The 18,124-nt window shown below is 58.8% G+C and overlaps 1 protein-coding gene across 31 annotated transcripts in view, besides 2 other annotated features; it reads right to left on the bottom strand.

Moving 5' to 3' along the window:
* Positions 1-18,124, bottom strand: part of ANO7 (anoctamin 7) — a 51,632-nt gene that overhangs the window by 32,382 nt on the left and 1,126 nt on the right. For 17 of the 31 annotated variants that reach the window (XR_007076377.1, XR_007076376.1, XM_011511267.3 and 14 more), the window contains exons 2-11: positions 17,756-17,870; positions 16,676-16,733; positions 12,082-12,224; positions 8,504-8,639; positions 7,702-7,838; positions 6,572-6,667; positions 5,623-5,733; positions 4,429-4,594; positions 2,972-3,062; positions 245-353 (exon numbers count right to left, since the gene is read on the bottom strand). Coding sequence is in view for 29 of the 31 variants with exons in the window: in XM_011511267.3 (XP_011509569.2) it covers positions 245-353; positions 2,972-3,062; positions 4,429-4,594; positions 5,623-5,733; positions 6,572-6,667; positions 7,702-7,838; positions 8,504-8,639; positions 12,082-12,224; positions 16,676-16,733; positions 17,756-17,870 (1,162 nt within the window). In the remaining 2 variants the exon portion in view is untranslated. Of the gene's footprint in view, positions 1-244; positions 354-2,971; positions 3,063-4,428; positions 4,595-5,622; positions 5,734-6,571; positions 6,668-7,701; positions 7,839-8,503; positions 8,640-11,761; positions 12,225-16,675; positions 16,734-17,505; positions 17,732-17,755; positions 17,871-18,124 lie in introns of those variants that run through there. The other 14 variants (XM_047444603.1, XM_011511263.3, XM_047444598.1 and 11 more) reach the window with 11 other exon arrangements.
* Positions 16,677-17,177: an enhancer, noted in NCBI's record as "H3K4me1 hESC enhancer chr2:242130165-242130665 (GRCh37/hg19 assembly coordinates)". NCBI's record gives its function as "activates a minimal SCP1, AML or CMV promoter by ChIP-STARR-seq in primed H9 embryonic stem cells {active_cell/tissue: H9 hESC(primed)}" and the evidence as "EXISTENCE:reporter gene assay evidence [ECO:0000049][PMID:30033119]".
* Positions 17,178-17,678: an enhancer, noted in NCBI's record as "H3K4me1 hESC enhancer chr2:242129664-242130164 (GRCh37/hg19 assembly coordinates)". NCBI's record gives its function as "activates a minimal SCP1, AML or CMV promoter by ChIP-STARR-seq in primed H9 embryonic stem cells {active_cell/tissue: H9 hESC(primed)}" and the evidence as "EXISTENCE:reporter gene assay evidence [ECO:0000049][PMID:30033119]".

The raw sequence follows: 18,124 nt of genomic DNA, 5'->3' as shown, positions 1-18,124 counted from the left end.
GAGTCCTGGTGTGGGGTGTCCTCAAGTGGGAAGCACTAACATGGGCCACTCTGCCAAGTGCTGGGAGGTGTGTGCCGGGTGTAACCCCAGTTCCAGGCAAGAGAACAAAGGTTAAGGAGCTCATGGAGCGTTCTGCCTTTAGCTGGTGACAAGCAGGACAGGGGCTGGTGCAGGCAGAGTCAGGACCAGGACAAGGGGAGCTGCCCTCCTCATCCCCGACTCTCAAATCCCTTACCCCACCCACCTCTTCTCGTACCTGGGCCAGGGCACAGGCGCTGGAGAGCAGCCAGAAAGGGCAGTCGAGGCAAAGTGGGCACATCTCGAAGCTGTCCTTGCTGCCACACAGTTCCTGCCTGCAAGGCATGGAGCGGAGGGGTGGGAGCTAATGGGGGAGGGGGGCTGCTTGCTCCTCCCAGCCAGGCGCCTCCCTTGTCCTCTCTCTCCCTTGTCCTCTCTGTCCACCACTGCCTTTGCCAGGCCCAGCATTTCTTAAAAAAAATAGTTGTTTTAAAATATATGCCATGACAATGTCTGAGTTAAGTTTCTGAATTTCAGTTCCATGATAAACTAAAACACAAGCCCATTTATTAATATTATAAGAAAGCTTACATTATTATAATAAACAAGAGTGCCAATAAAATTAGCATGGGAGCACTCCTGCCCATCTGTCAGCCTTGGAACACTCCTGTCCACCTGTGTCAGCCTGGGAGCACTCCTGTCCACCTGTCAGACTGGGAGCACTCCTGACCACCTGTGTCAGCCTGGGAGCACTCCTGTCCACCTGTCAGCCTGGGAGCACTCCTGTCCACCTGTCAGACTGGGAGCACTCCTGTCTACCTGTGTCAGCCTGGGAGCACTCCTGTCCACCTGTCAGCCTGGGAGCACTCCTGTCCACCTGTGTCAGCCTGGGAGCACTCCTGCCCACCTGTGTCAGGCTGGGAGCATTCCTGCCCACCTGTCAGCCTGGGAGCACTCCTGTCCACCTGTCAGACTGGGAGCACTCCTGTCCACTTGTGTCAACCTGGGAGCACTCCTGTCCACCTGTCAGCCTTGGAGCACTCCTGTCCACCTGTGTCAGGCTGGGAGCACTCCTGCCCACCTGTGTCAGGCTGGGAGCACTCCTGTCCACCTGTGTCAGCCTGGGAGCACTCCTGTCCACCTGTCAGGCTGGGAGCACTCCTGTCCACCTATGTCAGCCTGGGAGCACTCCTGTCCACCTGTGTCAGCCTGGTAGCACTCCTGCCCACCTGTGTCTGGCTGGGAGCACTCCTGCCCACCTGTCAGCCTGGGAGCACTCCTGTCCACCTGTCAGCCTGGGAGCACTCCTGTCCACCTGTCAGACTGGGAGCACTCCTGTCCACCTGTCAGCCTGGGAGCACTCCTGTCCACTTGTCAGACTGGGAACACTCCTGTCCACCTGTGTCAGCCTTGGAGCACTCCTGTCCACCTGTGTCAGGCTGGGAGCACTCCTGCCCACCTGTGTCAGGCTGGGAGCACTCCTGTCCACCTGTGTCAGCCTGGGAGCACTCCTGTCCACCTGTCAGACTGGGAGCACTCCTGACCACCTGTGTCAGCCTGGGAGCACTCCTGTCCACCTGTCAGCCTGGGAGCACTCCTGTCCACCTGTCAGACTGGGAGCACTCCTGTCTACCTGTGTCAGCCTGGGAGCACTCCTGTCCACCTGTCAGCCTGGGAGCACTCCTGTCCACCTGTGTCAGCCTGGGAGCACTCCTGCCCACCTGTGTCAGGCTGGGAGCATTCCTGCCCAGCTGTCAGCCTGGGAGCACTCCTGTCCACCTGTCAGACTGGGAGCACTCCTGTCCACTTGTGTCAACCTGGGAGCACTCCTGTCCACCTGTCAGCCTTGGAGCACTCCTGTCCACCTGTGTCAGGCTGGGAGCACTCCTGCCCACCTGTGTCAGGCTGGGAGCACTCCTGTCCACCTGTGTCAGCCTGGGAGCACTCCTGTCCACCTGTCAGGCTGGGAGCACTCCTGTCCACCTATGTCAGCCTGGGAGCACTCCTGTCCACCTGTGTCAGCCTGGTAGCACTCCTGCCCACCTGTGTCAGGCTGGGAGCACTCCTGCCCACCTGTCAGCCTGGGAGCACTCCTGTCCACCTGTCAGACTGGGAGCACTCCTGTCCACCTGTCAGACTGGGAGCACTCCTGTCCACCTGTCAGCCTGGGAGCACTCCTGTCCACTTGTCAGACTGGGAACACTCCTGTCCACCTGTGTCAGCCTTGGAGCACTCCTGTCCACCTGTGTCAGGCTGGGAGCACTCCTGCCCACCTGTGTCAGGCTGGGAGCACTCCTGTCCACCTGTGTCAGCCTGGGAGCACTCCTGTCCACCTGTCAGACTGGGAGCACTCCTGTCCACCTGTGTCAGCCTTGGAGCACTCCTGTCCACCTGTCAGACTGGGAGCACTCCTGTCCACCTGTGTCAGCCTTGGAGCACTCTTATCCACCTGTGTCAGCCTGAGAGCACACCTGTCTACCTGTTTCAGCCTGAGAGCAGTCCTAGCTACCTGTCAGCCTGGGAGCACTCCTGTCCACCTATCAGCCTGGGAGCACTCCTGACCACCTGTCAGCCTGGGAGCACTCCTATCCACCGGTGCCAGCCTGGGAGCACTCCTGACTACCTGTCAGCCTGGGAGCGCCCCGTCTGCCTGTCAGTCTGGGAGTGCTCCTGACCACCTGTCAGTTTGGGAGCACTCCTGTCCACCTGTCAGCCTGGGAGCACTCCTGTCCACCTGTCAGCCTGGGAGCACTCCTGTCCACCTGCCAGCCTTTCAGCCATGTCCACAAGGCCCTCTGTGACACTCCTGAAGACAGGCATGTGCTCACCTCACACCTCAATCACCTCAAGCACCAGCTGTCTGCACAGGACCTAGCACCTAGGGGTCCCCCCGCCCCACACCCATCTGGAGGCCCAGCACCAGGCCCCAGAGCTGCGGAGAGGGAACACTCACGTGGGTATGTCTGAGAACACCAGGAAGCAGCCCACCAGGAACACCAGTGTGCCCACCACTGCCGCTGGCAGGAGCCAGCCTGTGTAAAACCCTGTAGAGAGGATGGCAGGGGTCCACCATCAGGAACCCAGGCTTGGGGGCCCCAGGTAGGGGTCTGCACAGCCATGCTTGTCCCCTAGGGACCACCCTCAGCCCAGCTTGGGGGCTGGGGCCCTATGTGAGGAGGCCAAGAGGTACACAGCTCTCCCTGGCAGCTCTGGCACGGCCCACCCTCCTGGGCCTCTGCCCTAGACTCTGGACACCCCTACCACATTGACCCCAACACCAGTGCTGCTGGGGCTCCAGCCCACCAGGCTCTCCACCTCTGGATGCCTTCTCCTCAGCCAGCTCACTCCAACCAACCTGCCCGGGACGGACAGAGAAGTCCCTCTACATCCTGCCCACCACAGAGCTGTGGGCCCACCCGTGTTCCAGCCCCAGGGAAACCACGAGTCATTCCGGGTACCTCCCTCCCCACCACCCAACCCCCACCCTGGCCCCTGCCTCATCTGACCACAGCCGCAATCCCTCAGTTACCCCAGGCCCTCAGCATGTACCCCCACTGCCTCCCATAGGGCTAGTCCAGTCCCAGGCCTGGTGTCCTGTCTCCTGCCTGACTCTCTGCTGGCCAAAGTGACTGCTGTGAAACGCAAGTCTGCCTGGAGCCCAGATCCAGCCCTGGCCCTGCTTGCCCCCAGAAGCCCCCAGCCTGGCCGTGCTGTCCCAGGGTTGCTGCTCCAGGTCCTGAGATGGCCGGGTGAGTCCTGGCACACAGGAGCTGTCCCTCTGCCCCGATGCTGTGCCCCGGCTGCCCTTCCATGCCTGCCGGCCCCGCCCGCTGCCCTGGCTGGCTCTATTGTCTGGGTCCACGGTGGGGCTGTGTGTGCGGATGAGAAAGGGCTTTGGAAGTTCTGGGGCACAGAATGAAGGGGTTGGGTCTGACCCAGGATGGGGAAGGGAGGGTGCCAAGAGCTGAGTGGGGTGAGGGCAGCCAGGACCCAGGAGGAACAGCTCTGGGGTTGCCTGGGGCAGATGGCCTGCTTGGAGGAGATGAGAGGCTTGGCCTGGACCCAGGCAGGGGCGACCTCCCTAGGATGGAAGTTCCTGGGGTTGCCCCAGGGCCTCATGGGCCAGTGACATTCGGGGAGGGAGTCAGGAGAGACCCCCACCAGCAGAAGCGGCTCTCAGCACTGTTACTGGAGCATTAGGAGGCCAGGGCCCGGCATCGTCATGGCGCCCAGTTAGAGTGAGTGGGCTTGAGGGGAGCCAGGAGGGCAGCCCGGTCGAGCCAAGAGCTGCGCCCACCGTCCAGGCCCCCACGCACGCTGCCCTCCAGGGGTACGGACTGGCAAATTGTTACAACCTGACACCAAGCTGGGGGGGCCCAGGTGGTCTGGGGGGCAGCGGGGGGGACTCACCGAGCCAGGCGAAGTAGAGGGCCACCTTCTCCCCGAAGTACCTGCGCACGTGGTCCAGGGGCTGGTACTTGTTCCACTTGCCCCAGCGCGCCCAGTGCTGGAAAAGGACTTGGCGCTGGTTGAGGCGTGGAGCCTGCGGGCCCTCTGGGGGCGTCTTGAAGGGGCCCTGGGGGCGAGCGGCCTGTGGGTGGGAGGCTCCCCCAGCTGACCCCACTGGGCACTGTTGTAGGTGCAGGGGCTTCAGTGTGGGACATGGGCAGACAGGCCTGGGAGTCTGGGATTGCTCCATGAAGAAAAAATAGAGTAATGTGGAGGGGTGGGTACAGGGTGGTCCGGGAGGACCTCTCTGAGGAGGGGACATATGTGGTGAGGCCCCTCTGACTCCTGGACTTCGAGGGTTCAGGGCGGGGAAGGGCCTGGAGAGGCCACCCTGAGAGAAGCCAGTGGCGGTGGTCCAGGGTCCAGCACCTTCTCTGGGTTGGAGAGTCCCCAGGCTCGTGTCCTGTGCTGTGCATTCTGGGCCCTGGCTGGCGGGAGGAGCCACCCCAGCAAGGTGGGACACCTGGCATTTCCACACCCACTTTTTCATTTAACCCTCATGACGGCGTTGGGGCAGGACTGGACCCCTGGCCATGCAGCAGTGGGCTCAGGCCTGACCAGGCCCCAGATGCCCTGGCTGCCTGCAAGGCCCCTCCCCTGCTCGGCCAAGGGGGAAGGCTTGGGCGGGTGGGGGAATAAATGGCCTTCTGCTCCCCACAGTGGCTGTTTTCTCAGGGATGATGGTAACGCTGATAGGAACAGGTGCAGCGGCAGCTGCCCTGGTCAGTGCCCGCTTTGGCATTGCCTCAGTTTACCCAGCTTCTGGAGGGGGATAGGAGACCTCACTGTCTTTCCCAGCAAGAGACGCTACCCAGAGAGACAGAGCCATAGCATCTAGAGCCCAGGGACCGGCCTGTTCCCGTGTTGGGCACCGCAGTGTGGGCTGCAGTCCCCGCAGAGCCGGACCTGAGGCCCCGGACAGGCCACGGGATGGCCTGATCACATCGCCGCATGTGTGTGCATTTAGTGTTCTGACTCCTGGGTGGCCACGCCGGCTGACCATGCCTGCCCCACACCCGCCTCCCTGGGGGCCAACAGGACCCAAGGGGACTCATCTCCCATACCCAGGCTGGAGCCCCCAGCCCCCGAGCTCACGTCATGCAGGGGGAAGGCGGCACTGAGGACACCCTCTGCCAGCAGCTGGTGGATCCCAAGCAGGTTTTTCTTCTCGTGGCCATACGGGGTCTTGGCCAGGATCTCAAACAGCTGCAGGGGATGTGGAGGATGGCGCAGGTCACTTGTCACGTGATAGCAGAACAGGGAAGTCCTAGCTAGCCTGTCTTTAGGCCAAGGCCATGGACGGCCTCCCTCAGCCTTCTGGTGACAATAGCGATCTGATGGAAAGGCTTGGGACTTTGTGTCACCACCGCACATGCACATGCAGGACGCCCCTGTGCCAGGGTAGTGCTCATTCTCCCACTGTGCAGGCTCAGAGTCCTTGACCAGAGCCACACGGCATGTGGGAGTCGAGTCTGCACCTGAAGCTGGGCCCCTGCCTGGCCGTGCGCAGCCCACTCTGGACCTGCACCCTGGGTGACGGTGAACACTGCAGCCTGGCAGCTGTGTCCAGGGTGTGCCCTGCCCCCTACCTGGGCAGCCACGTGACTGTGTGCCCTGTGGTGGTCAGCAGGGCCTCTCTTGGGTAGGCCTCAGGAACAGGCCTCCTGCCGGGTGCCTTGGGCCTGCCCCGCCTGGGGCCACCCTTCCTCCGACGCTGCAGGGCAGGTCTGCTCCCAGCCGGCAGGACCCACCCTGCCTGGGGCTAGTCTCGGCTGTCCCACATGTCCATAGATCCAATATCTATTTTGAGCCCTGGGGTCCCGGAGGGGAACTGGGCCCTTCCCCACCCCTTCCCAATCCCAGGTCATGGCCTGCCCTGTGTAGCGAGGTGAGGTCAGCCTCTAAAGTTTCCAAAGCCTCCGGGCTCCAGGCCTCGGCCCTCTGGTCTCAAGCAGGCCTTTCTGCATCCATGGAGGCTGGGGGCTGGCAGGATCCTCAGAGCCAGGTCAGGGTTTGGGGCCCGCGGCAGGGAACCCCCACTCACAATTTGGTGCCTCTTGGTGCTTGTGAAGAAGGTGTCCTGGTTGTCACTCCCGAGGAAGCTGTGGGCATGTGAACAGTGCAGAAGGTTTGGAGGAAGCTGTGGGCATGTGAACGGTGCAGAAGGTTTGGAGGAAGCTGCGGGCATGTGAACGGTGCAGAAGGTTTGGGGCCCGGGTGCTGGCGCGCACGCAGAAGCACAGGCCTGCGGACACAGCCCTCGCCCCAGGAGAAGCAGCTGGCTCCCCGGCAGGTCAGCAGCTCCCGATTATGCCTTTTCACATCCCCAGGAACAGGAGGCCACAGCAGGCCCCCAGATACCCAGAACCCCTCACCACACACAGGGTGGGGGGAAGCAAACTGTGGTTGGGCACAGGGCAGGGCGGTGTAGAGAGGGCCAGGCTGGCCAGGGAGCCCCATCCCGTGTGCCGCCCTGAAGCTCCGTCATGGGGCCGAGGGTGCTCGTGGGCAGTGCGGACAGTGACTGGGTAGGGGCCCTCCCTGGGAAACCAGAATCTTGGGAAGCCATAGGTGGGGCAACACGGAGTGAGGCTGAATTTCCCACCAGCCCCAAAAGGAGGCATCCCGTGTGGCAGAAAGGCCGCCTTCAGCACTGGTTCCCCGACAGTGGTCCCTGCCACTTCTGGACTCCCCTAGTCTGTAGGCCTGGTGCCATAGTGCAACTGGCTTTGTCCAGTAGTAATGTGTGTGGACGACACACGTGTCGTTTCCAGGAGGGAGCCAGCATGGGCCAAACGTGTCCCTGTATTCTACCTCCACAGTTGGGGACGCTGTGACGAGACAGAGCCTCCATCGCCCGGGCCCTGAGAGACCGTGGTGAGCAGGTACCGCGCCGCCCCACCACACGTGTGCCTGAGCAGGAACTAGACCTCGCGTGTCCAGCCACTGGGCCTTGGGGGGGTTATCTGTCCTGCAGCACAACCGCCCCAGCCCGGCTGACGCAGCGGCATTTGGAAATGCAGACACGCGATAAGCGTGCGCACCTGGCCTCAGATTCCCTGCCGAAAACTCCAGGTGAGGAGAGTCCTGGGGAAGCACCAAGTTCCGCTCACTCATTCACCGACTCCCACTCACTCCTGTTCTTTCCTCCGACTGGCAGGGCCCCTGCCTTACCGTGGCAGCTTGTTCACTCTGAACCGGCAGGAGTAGTACTCGGGGGGTACGTCTGGCACAACCTCCAGCAGGACGTTGGGGATGCCCAGCCATGCCAGCAGGCCGGCCGACCAGTTGGAGGCCTGGTTGGGTAACTCCTGGAAGGAAACGTCAGTGGCTCCTCCCACTCCCGGGAGGAGGGCAAATGCCCCAGGTGGGAGTGGAGGTTGTGCAAGTTTGCAAATTGGGCAATGGGCGAAGGGGCTCCAGCAGAGGGAAGGAGCGTGGTAGACCCTGTGAGGGCCCAGGTGAGCCCCTTCCCCTCTCAGGGCCTCAGGCTCTGAGGCTGCTCAGCTTGTCAATTTGTAGCCCAGAGACCCTCAAGTGGAAAAGGGGTGGGAACTGGTAAGTAGCGTGTCTCCCACCCGCACGCAGTGAGGGTCAGGCCAGCCAGTGCGGTGGGAGGCGGACCCACGTCCAGGCCCATCTTCCTGAGGTCACCTGGAGGCAGCCTTCTCCACCCCATGTTCATAGGCAGGGCCCTCAGCAGGTGGCCTGGCGGGGGTCTGGGCCTGGAGGGGCCAGCTCAGTGCACACGCACTGTTCACCCGACCCCACCTCCCGGGAGCCCACTGTGGGGGATGCCACCACCTGCCCTGTTTGCCCAGTGAGGTTTCTTGGGGCCTGGTGTCGGGGTGGGTAGGAGGAGCCCCTGAGGCCTCTGAGCAGGGAGCCCTCCTGAGGCTGTCGGCACTGGCAGCTGAACGCAGTGTGTGGGGACCGGGACCTCCAGGCCCACCCTGTCCCCATGCCTCCCACGTACCTGCAAGGGCAGCTTCAGGCGCAGGTCTTCGGCGTAGTAGCAGAGCACAGCCCAGGAGGCGCTGAGGAGGGCGTAGTGCACTGTGGTGTTCCCGTCCTGGACGTCCTGCTGTAGGCACCCAGGGCTCCGTGAGAGCCTGAGGGTGCATGTGTGCACGTATGCACATGTGTGTGTCCATTCGCACTCTTAGGAAAAGACTGGCATTTCTGTAGCCGTGGTAACAGCTGACTTTGAATCTCCTATTTGATACATGACACCTACTCCCATGGATACGCCTCTGAAAGCCAACCGGGCCTCGACAGCCCCGTTTGGGAGTCGGCCCCAGCAACAGATTTGCTGCAGACAGCATGCTGTTGGGACCGGCGTCACCTGCAGCCTCCCCTAAGGCTAGGGAGAGCCTTGCCCTGCTGGCCAGACTATGCTGACACACGCCTGCCTCCTGGCTTGAGGGGCAGTGCCTCCAGCTTTTGGTTTTCAACATCGAACGTCGCCTCACCTTTGATCGGTCACCAGGTGTACATGCATGCTGTGCACGGACATGTTTCCGTGTGTATGTGTGTGTACATATAGGTGAGCACTACTGTCTATGTTCACATGTGCACATGTGTGCCAACATGTGACAGGTGCTCCTGGAGCCCGGGGTGGGTTGAGACAGGGATCTGATTCAGTCCAGTGCAGAAGTGCCTCCTCTGAGTGCATAACTGCTTTTCAGCACCATCCCATTTAGTCCAGTGGTCCTCAGCCCTCACAGCCATCTGGGGTTCCCTAAGTGCCAAAGTCCCGGCCCCACCTTGGGCGAAGTGGAACAGAGTCAAGGGCAGACCCTGGCCCCCAGCTGGCCGTGATGTTCTGTGAGAGCTGAGAACTGTCCTGCAGACCGCAGACCAGGCACACTTTGGGCAACGTGCTGGGGCCACCGGCGTCCCCTGCAGTAGTCCCCCCTGCCCTCAACTAAAGGGCAAACCTGCTCGAGTCTGGATGATGACCTTGAAAACTCATGGGACCACGCCACCCAATCAGCTCTGTCCATAATAAAAGCAGGTGTCTTTCACCTCCACCTCCCAGACACTGAAGCAGATCCAAACTCAGGAGTGGGGTGGCTGTTAGCTCTGTGGGCTCCATGTGCCAACACCTGAGAAGGACTGGAAGGAAGCCAGGGAGAGCGGGGCAGGGAGGGGCACCCTGGGGTGGGGTGATGTGGCAAGTAGGGGCTGCTCCCTGTGTGTTCTGGACAAGGAGTAGGCAACGTGGGAATGAGAAGGTGGGTGAGGGAAGAAAGGCACGGAAGGTGGAGGGGAGTCGGACGCAGGACTAACTCAGTCCACAGCAGGTTAAAACCAACCAGGACACCATCATGACCAGGACAGCCAGCCAGGACTGGGGAAAGATGTCTGTCACACACGCCACCAGCAATGGCTAAGTGTCCAGAACAGACAACAAGCTCCTAAGCCTTAATAAGGAAGAGGGAGGTGAGGCCGGGCGTGGTGGCTCATGCCTGTGATCCCGGCACTTTGGGAGGCTGAGACAGGCAGATCCCTTGAGGTCAGGAGTTCATGACCAGCCTGGCCAACATAGGGTAACCCCGCCTCTACTAAAAATACAAAAATTAGCTGGGTGTGGTGGTACACACCTGTAATCCCAGCTACTCGGGAGGCTGAGGCAGGAGAATCACTTGAACCCAGGAGACAGAAGTTGTAGTGAGCCAAGATCACACCACTGTACTCCAGCCTGGGTGACAGATTCAGACCCTGTCTAAAAAAAAAAAAAAAAAAGGGCAGGTGACTTGGGAGGCTAAGGCAGGCAGATTGCTTGAGCCCAGGAGTTCCAAACCAGCCAGGGCAACAAAGTGAGACCTCATCTCTACAAAAAATTAGCCGGGCATGGTGGTGTGGGCCTGTAGTCCCAGCTACTCAGGAGGCTGAGCTGGGAAGATGGCTTGAGCCTCGGGAGATTGAGGCTGCAGAGAGCCGTGACTGCACCACTGCACTCCGGCCAGGGCAACAGAACAAGACCCTGTCTCGTTAGGCCTGGCGCGGTGGCTCACGCCTGTAATCCCAGCGCTTTGGGAGGCCGAGGCGGGTGGATCACCTGAGGTCAGGAGTTCAAGACCAGCCTGGGCAATACGGTGAAACCCCGTCTCTACTAAAAATACAAAAATTGGCTGGGCGTGGTGGTGGGTGCCTGTAATCTCAGGTACTCGAGAAACTGAGGCAAAAGAATCTCTTGAACCCGGGAGGTGGAGGTTGCAGTGAGCCAAGATCTCGCCATTGCACTCCAGCCTGGGCAACAGAGCGAGACTCTCTCTCAAAAACAAACAAACAAACAAGCACACAAACCACGGTGAGCCACCACTATATCCCAACTGGTTGGTAAAACGTTAAAAGTCTGCAGTATCAAGTGTTGAGAAGATACAGAGCAAGGGGCCTCAGGCCACTGCCGATGGTGGAAATGGGGCCACCACGTGGGGAGTGGTTGGCCATATGCACATGCCTCGGCCCGGCACCCCTACTCCCAGAAGTCCCTGCACACAGGCACAAGGACACACACACACACACACACACACACACACACACACACACACACACGAATGAATTGACAGTAGCTGATTTTCATAATCATCCCAGACTGGGAACAAGTCAAATGCCCATTCTCACGGCATCCATAAGCAAAGACCGGCATTCACATGTGAGCTGCCTGCGGCAAGGCAAGGGTGGGCCCCGGGGCAGCAGTCACTGGCCATATGGGCGGGCCTCACCGCAGGAATGACCCCGCATGAGATTCAGCTCTGCCGATCTCAAACAGACAAAGCCAGGCTGTATTGCTTGATTATGTAAAATTGGCGCTAAAATGGTAAAGAAACCCCGAGTGGGATGAACATAAAACTCAGGATCGATTACTCTGTGGAGAGGGAGAGGACAGGTGACAGCACAGCCTGCTCCTGGGGACAGAGGAAGGTGGTCAGAGGAGGGCAGAGAAGGAAGGAGCCGCTTGGACAGACCTGGCAATGAGTGGGGGACACAGCAGGGTGAGAGCTGGGCTCTGCACCCCAATCCCCAGCTGCCCCAAGCCCCACCTGCGCCTGCCTGTGCCCGCACACCCAGCATCCTCACGCCTAGTTCCTGTTTCTCACGCTCCCCGGACCTGTTGCTTAAATGATTCTAAGTGGTACCTACCATTATCACCGAAAGCAAACATGTGAAAGGACTTTTTAAGCTGTTAATTCTATAAGCACACTGAGAGTCATAAACACAAATGACACGCCTACCCAAAAGCTTTAATGTTGGAGACGGGACAGGTGAATGGCAAAGGTAGTGTCAGAGTTTTCAGGTGACCCTGAGGGCTCCGACTTCCATGAGAGAGCTGAGTGTGCAGGAGGGATCAATGTTTACCTCCGCCTCTGGACAGCAGCTCCCTAGCCACACGGAGGAGCTCACGGTGGCTGGGGGGTCCAGCAGGACTTTGGGGCCTGATCTGCTCTGGGACTCTGGACACCATGCCCTCAGGCCTCATGCGGCAAGGTCATGGGTCACTGAGTGGATGCAGGGCCTAGGGCCCTGCCCATGACAGCCTCCACGTACCTGGTCTACACACAGCCCAGCCGCACGAAGATTATCCAGAAAAGTCTCCCGCCAGGTCCTGTGCATGTCTGTTCTGTCCCGGGCGGCACTGTCCTGCTGCCTGTCTAGCTTCAGGTCCTCCTCCCAAACGAGGACGAAGTCTGCTGGGAGCCAACAGGGACAGAGGCAGGAGCCTGGCTAAGTGGCAGTGGCCGGCCCAGGGAAGGGATGCCAGCATCCCAGCCGGGACGCAGTGGGGAGCCATGCACTTGGACACTCAGGGCCGGTTCCTTCCCGATCCCCTCTCTGGTCCCAGCCAGGGCTAGGAGGACTCCAGGAGCACTTCCAGGTTCCAGGACAGCCCTGCATTGGCCTGGGTGGGGAACGGAGGCCTGGAGAGGGGCTGGGTATGGCCCTCTGAGATTCCTGCTATGGTGCTCATCCCTGCAGGGTAAGTCCCAGACTCCTACAGGGGTCTTCAAGGACCTCAGGTGCAAGTCACTGTCAGACTTCCCGTCCTGCCATAGAGAATCATCAAAGCTGAAGAAAGTTTCCGAAGCCCCTGATTTTCTGGCATGAGACAGCAATGGATGCTGGGCTCAGGCGCTCCAGATAAGAGGAGCGTGCGAGGTGAGCCTTCCCTTCCCTTCACTTCCTCCTGGGGCATTTCCCAAACGACAGGGAGGGCAATAGAGCCCAAGCAGAGGCATTGGTGGGTGAGGCGAATGGGCATTTGAATTAGGTGCTGCTAAGGGGGCTGGAGCTTGGGAAGAAGACGGAGCCACCGGGTCTGTGAGAAAGTCCCCCAGGCCCTTGGAGCACCAAGCTATTCATACACAGAGGCAGCTGCTGGAGGCCCATGGCTGACAAAGATTCCAGAGGATACACAGTGCTGGGGAATCTGAGCTCCAGCTGGAACACGCTGGTCATCCAGCAGAGACTCGCAGGCCACACCCGAGGAGTAAGGACAACGGAGTCCCCTTAACTGCAGGGGATCTATCCAAGAACCCGGTGGATGCCTGAAACTGTGCAGAGTAACAAACCTATATATACTGTCTTTCCCTATACATACCTATAATACGTACATACCTATGATATACATTCCTATGGTGAAGGTTAATTTATGAATTAGGTAAAGTAAGAGATGAACAATAACTAATAATAAAACAGAATAATTATAACAAAATGCTGCAGTAAAAGTTATGTGAATGTGGGCATTCTGTCTCGCTCTTTTACAATATCTTATTGTGGCTGGGTTTGGTGGCTCACGCCTGTCATCCCAGCAATTTGGGAGGCTGAGGCAGGTGGATCACGAGGTCAGGAGATCAAGACCATCCTGGCTAACACGGTGAAACCCCATATCTACTAAAAATACAAAAACAAAATTAGCTGGGCGTGGTGGCCGGCACCTGTAGTCCCAGCTACTCAGGAGGCTGAGGCGGGAGAATGGTGTGAACCCAGGAGACGGAGCTTGCAGTGAGCTGAGATCACGCCACTGCACTCCAGCCTGGGCAACAGGGCAACAGAGCGAGACTCCATCTCAAAAAAAAAAAAAAAAGGAAATAAATAATTTCTATATACCTATGACACATAGGCAGTGAAATTTTCCAAGTAATGCTATTTGGAATACATCTACTAAAAGATGTGCAAGATCTCACGAAAGCAGCAAAAAAAAAAAAAAAAAAAATTAAAGGCCAGGTACGGTGGCTCACGCCTGTAATCCCAGCACTTTGGGAGGCCGAGGCAGGCAGATCACTTGAAGTCAGGAGTTCGAGACCAGCCTGGCCAACATGGCGAAACCCTGTCTCTACTAAAAATACAAAATTAGCCAGGCGTGGTGGCACATGCCTGTAATCCCAGCTACTTGGGAGGCTGAGGCCAGAGATCACTTGAACCTGGGAGGTGGAGGTTGCAGTGAGCCAAGATCGTGCCCTTGCATTCCAGATGGGCAACAAGAGCGAAACTCTGTCTCAAAAAGAAAAAAAGAAAGAAAGAAAAGAGAAATTAAAGTAGACCTAAATAAATGGAGAAAATACCATATTTGAGGATTGAAAGACTCACTTTCTAAATATGGGAAATAATACATCAGGCATACGTTAATCCCTTTGACACAAAACAGAACACACAAAACTGACAAAACTTTAACAATACCAGGCCAAATGGATTTTAAGACACAAAGCATGATTATGGATAGACAATTTTCTAGGCACAATTAATATTGATAAAAGGCATGATTTTCTCAGAGGATAGAATATATTCTACCTTTATATGAAAGTTTAAAACGATTGTATCTTGGGAGGTGCTGTCTTGGAATGAAGGGTGGGGAGCTTCTGGTAGCAGGAGATGTGGTCTGAGGGCCTGGTGGGGCTGGGAGGGAGGGGTAGGCCTGTGGCTGCACAGGCAGCTGCGAGGATGCCTTAAGCCTCACACACACAGAGGGGGCGTGTGGAGGATTTTGAGAAAATAAGGGCTGTCTACGTTTTAAAAAACCATCTTAGGCTGGGCGTGGCGGCTCACACTTATAATCCCAGCACTTTTGGAGGCCAAGGCGGGCGGATCACCTGAGGTCAGGAGTTCAAGACCTGCCCAACCAACATGGCGAAACCCCGTCTCTACTACAAACACAAAAATTAACCGGGCGTGGTGGGGCGCACCTGTAGTCCCAGCTACTCGGGAGGCTGAGGCAGGAGAATGGTGCGAAGGGAGGCAGAGGTTGCAGTGAGCCGAGATTGTGCCACTGCATTCCAGCCTGGGTGAGAGTGAGACTCCATCTCAAAAAAAACACAAAAAACAAAAAACAAAAAACCAACCAACCAAACAAAAAACCATCTTAACCACATTTAAGTGTACAGGTCATTGGTACTAAGGACATTGACATTCTTGTGCAGCCATGACCACCATCCATCTCCACTGAATCCCTACGCCCATTAAGCACTAACTCCCCCTCCCCGTCCCCAGCCCCTGGCACCCACCATTCTACCTTCTCTCTCTATGAATTTGACTCTCTGGGGACCTCATATAAGTGGAATCACATTTGTCCTTTTGTGACTGGCTGATTTCACGTAGCATACTGTCCACAAGGCGCATCCCCGTTGCAGCCTGTGTCAGACTTTTCTGCCTTTTTAAGGCTGAATAAATCCGTTGGATGTAAATACCACATTTTGCTTATCTAGTCATCTGTAGGTGGACACGTGGATGGCTTCCACCTTGATATGGGCTGAACTAAGTTTCTCCAAAATTTGTATGTCAAAGCCCCACCCCACAGTCCTCAGAATGAAACTGTATTTGGAGATTAGGTCATTAAAGACACGTGATGGCTATTAGGGTGTGCCCTAATCCATGACAACTCGTGTCCTTATAGGAGGAAGAGACCCCGGGGGTGTGAGGACACAGGGAGAAGGCGCGTCTGCAAAAGCCAAAAGAGAGGCCTCTAAGCCACCAGCCCTGCCTCACCCTCACCTCGGGCTTCAGCCCCAAGACTGTGAGAAAAGAAAGTTCTGCCATCTAAGCCCCGCAGGCCGTGGTACTTTTTTTTTTCTTGGAGATGGAGTTTTGCTCTTGCTGCCCAGGCTGGAGTGCAATGGCGCGACCTCGGTTCACCGCTACCTCCGCCTTTTGGGTTCAAGCGATTCTCCTGCCTCAGCCTCCCGAGTAGCTGGAATTACAGGCATGTGCCACCACGCCTGGCTAATTTTGTATTTTTAGTTTCTCCATGTTGATCAGGCTGGTCTCGAACTCCCGACCTCAGGTGATCCACCCGCCTTGGCCTCCCAAAGTGCTGGGATTACAGGCATGAGCCACTGTGCCTGGCCCAGGCTGTGGTACTTCTTATGACAGTCCCAGCAGACGAATGCACGCCTTCCAGCTACAGTGAATGACATTGCGGGTGTACAGATATCTCCCCGGGGCCCCCATCCCGTGCTCGTGGGCGCTCACCCAGGGAAGACATACTGGCTTTTACGGGAACTCTGTGCTGAATTCTCTGAGGAACTGCTGTTTTCCTTAGCAGCTGTACCATTTTACACTCCCTCCAGCAATGCACAAGTGAGCCAGTTTCCGCTCATCCTCATCAACACTTGTGATTTTTTTTAAGTAGTAGCCATCCTAGTGGGAGGAGGTTAGGGTCTCTCTGGTGCTGAGGGGACAGCAGGGTGGGCGGGGTGGGTGCTGGGAGCCCGGCTGGTGCTGGTGCAATCCCCTGGAGTCGGTGGTAGCTCCGGGCAGACAGAGGCAGTGGGTTGGGGGTGGATCAAAGAGATTTTGAAGGTACAAAAGGGGTGGAGTGCAAGAGATAAGAGTCAGAAATGACCTGAGTTGTGGCTGAACAGCTGGAGGATGGTGGAGGGGACTGGAGCAGGAGGGAGGGGGCAGCCCTGTCCACTCTCCAGAGCCCTTCCGGCCCCACCCCATCAGTAGGGAGCCCCCTTTCCTGCTGTTCTTCCCACTGTGGTTTGCTCACCCCGAGGCCCTCACCCCAGTGCCCCATCCCCAAGCAACTGGCCCCAGAGTGGCTACTGAGGAGGCTACCCCAGCCTGCTGCCCCTGGGGGCACCCCCGTGGTGTCCCCACCCTCAGGACCAACACGGGTGTGGTACAGGTGCTGGGAGGGGCTCACCGATCCGGGGCTTGGCAGGACTCCCAGCTCTGCAGGCGGCCGCTTGCTGTCCACCTGGCTGGAAGGCATGGAGGATGGAGAAGCATATCAGCATCAGCATCTGCCCTCGACAACTACACCCACCCCGCCCCACCCTGAAGCCGTCCTCGCCTCCAACCCGTCCCCGCCCTGCCCCAGAACACTCAGGACCACAGAAGAATGTTCGGCGGGTGGGTAGGGGGTGGAGGGGGAAGCCCCTCTGCTGTGTGGGGGCACAGGATGCGCAGGCGCGGGGAGCGGCAGGCAGGGCCAGAGGGCACCACCAGCCCTGGGCCTCCAGCCGGCTCCCCTCCTCCTTGGGCCAGGCCCATGGCAAGGGTCAGGTTGGCGGGAAGCATGGCCAGGACCAGGGGTGCCTGCCTTGCTGGCCTCCAGGGGCAGAGGGGAGCCGGACTGCTCCCAAAGGGGCCCTGAGGACAGAGTTGGCCATGGCGACCGAGAGTGTCTGGATGCTTGAGGTGAGAGGCCCTGTGCCCTCCCTGGAGGCTCATCTCAGCTGTGCTTGGGGCGGCAGGAAGGGGTCCCGTGTCCACCCGCAGGCTGCTGGGGCAGACGTGTGGCCCAGGAGAACCAGGAAGAGGGCCCTCCACGGCCAGGGCCTCCCGCATGGCCTTGAAGGCCCGGGACCCAGCCTCTCCCCACAGGCTCACAGCGCATCCATGGCCTCCTAGTGACAAGGTGGAGCCCTACAGATGGCCCTGGGTGCTGCTGTGGCCCTGCACTGACTGGGACTGACACCACAGGGAGGGCCCCGCCCTGGTCTTGCCTTTGCCTGGCCAGGCCCCCCTTACCCTCCTGGAGCTCCTGTCTGAACATCAGTGGGTTCTGCTCGGTTCTCCACAGCCAGGCCAGGCCAGGAGAGCGGTGATCTGACTGTGTGTGTTGAGGACTGGGTGGCGAGGGCTTGGGGGTTGCCGGGGGATGCAGGAGAAACACGGTGATGCCCATCCACCCCCAGAGGCTCTGGGCCCAGGGTGGGGGCATAGACCCAGGCAGGGGAGGACCTCTCAAGTCGCACCACAGTCTCCTGGGTGCTGTTACCTCCGAGGCGTGGGCTGTGCTCCCGTAAGAGCCCCTCTTCTCTGCCTCAGGGGGGCTCACATCGATCAGGACGGTGCTGTCCTCTTCCTGGGCCCGTCGCCGCAGCATCCTGCTCCTGCACCCAGCAAGGCCGGGTGGGGATGGGGGTCAGAGAGGGGATGGGTGAGACCCGTTCCTGGGGCCACCACACTGCCTGCAGTGAGCTCACTTTACAGACTCGACTCGGAGTAGAATGGGGCTGGGCTGGCTCGGCAGACTCTCCTGGCCATGAGCACATGGAGAACCCCCTAGCCAGCCACGAGCTCCAGGAAGAAACCAGTGCCGGGGCGGGAGCGTCTGGCAGGCCTGGCACAGCAGGCGTCTGTCTGT

The sequence above is a fragment of the Homo sapiens genome, chromosome 2 (assembly GCF_000001405.40).
Source record: "Homo sapiens chromosome 2, GRCh38.p14 Primary Assembly".
NCBI classification, from domain to species: Eukaryota; Metazoa; Chordata; class Mammalia; order Primates; family Hominidae; genus Homo; species Homo sapiens.
Note: the sequence above shows the minus strand (reverse complement) of the source record. Positions and strands in the feature narration are given on the sequence as shown.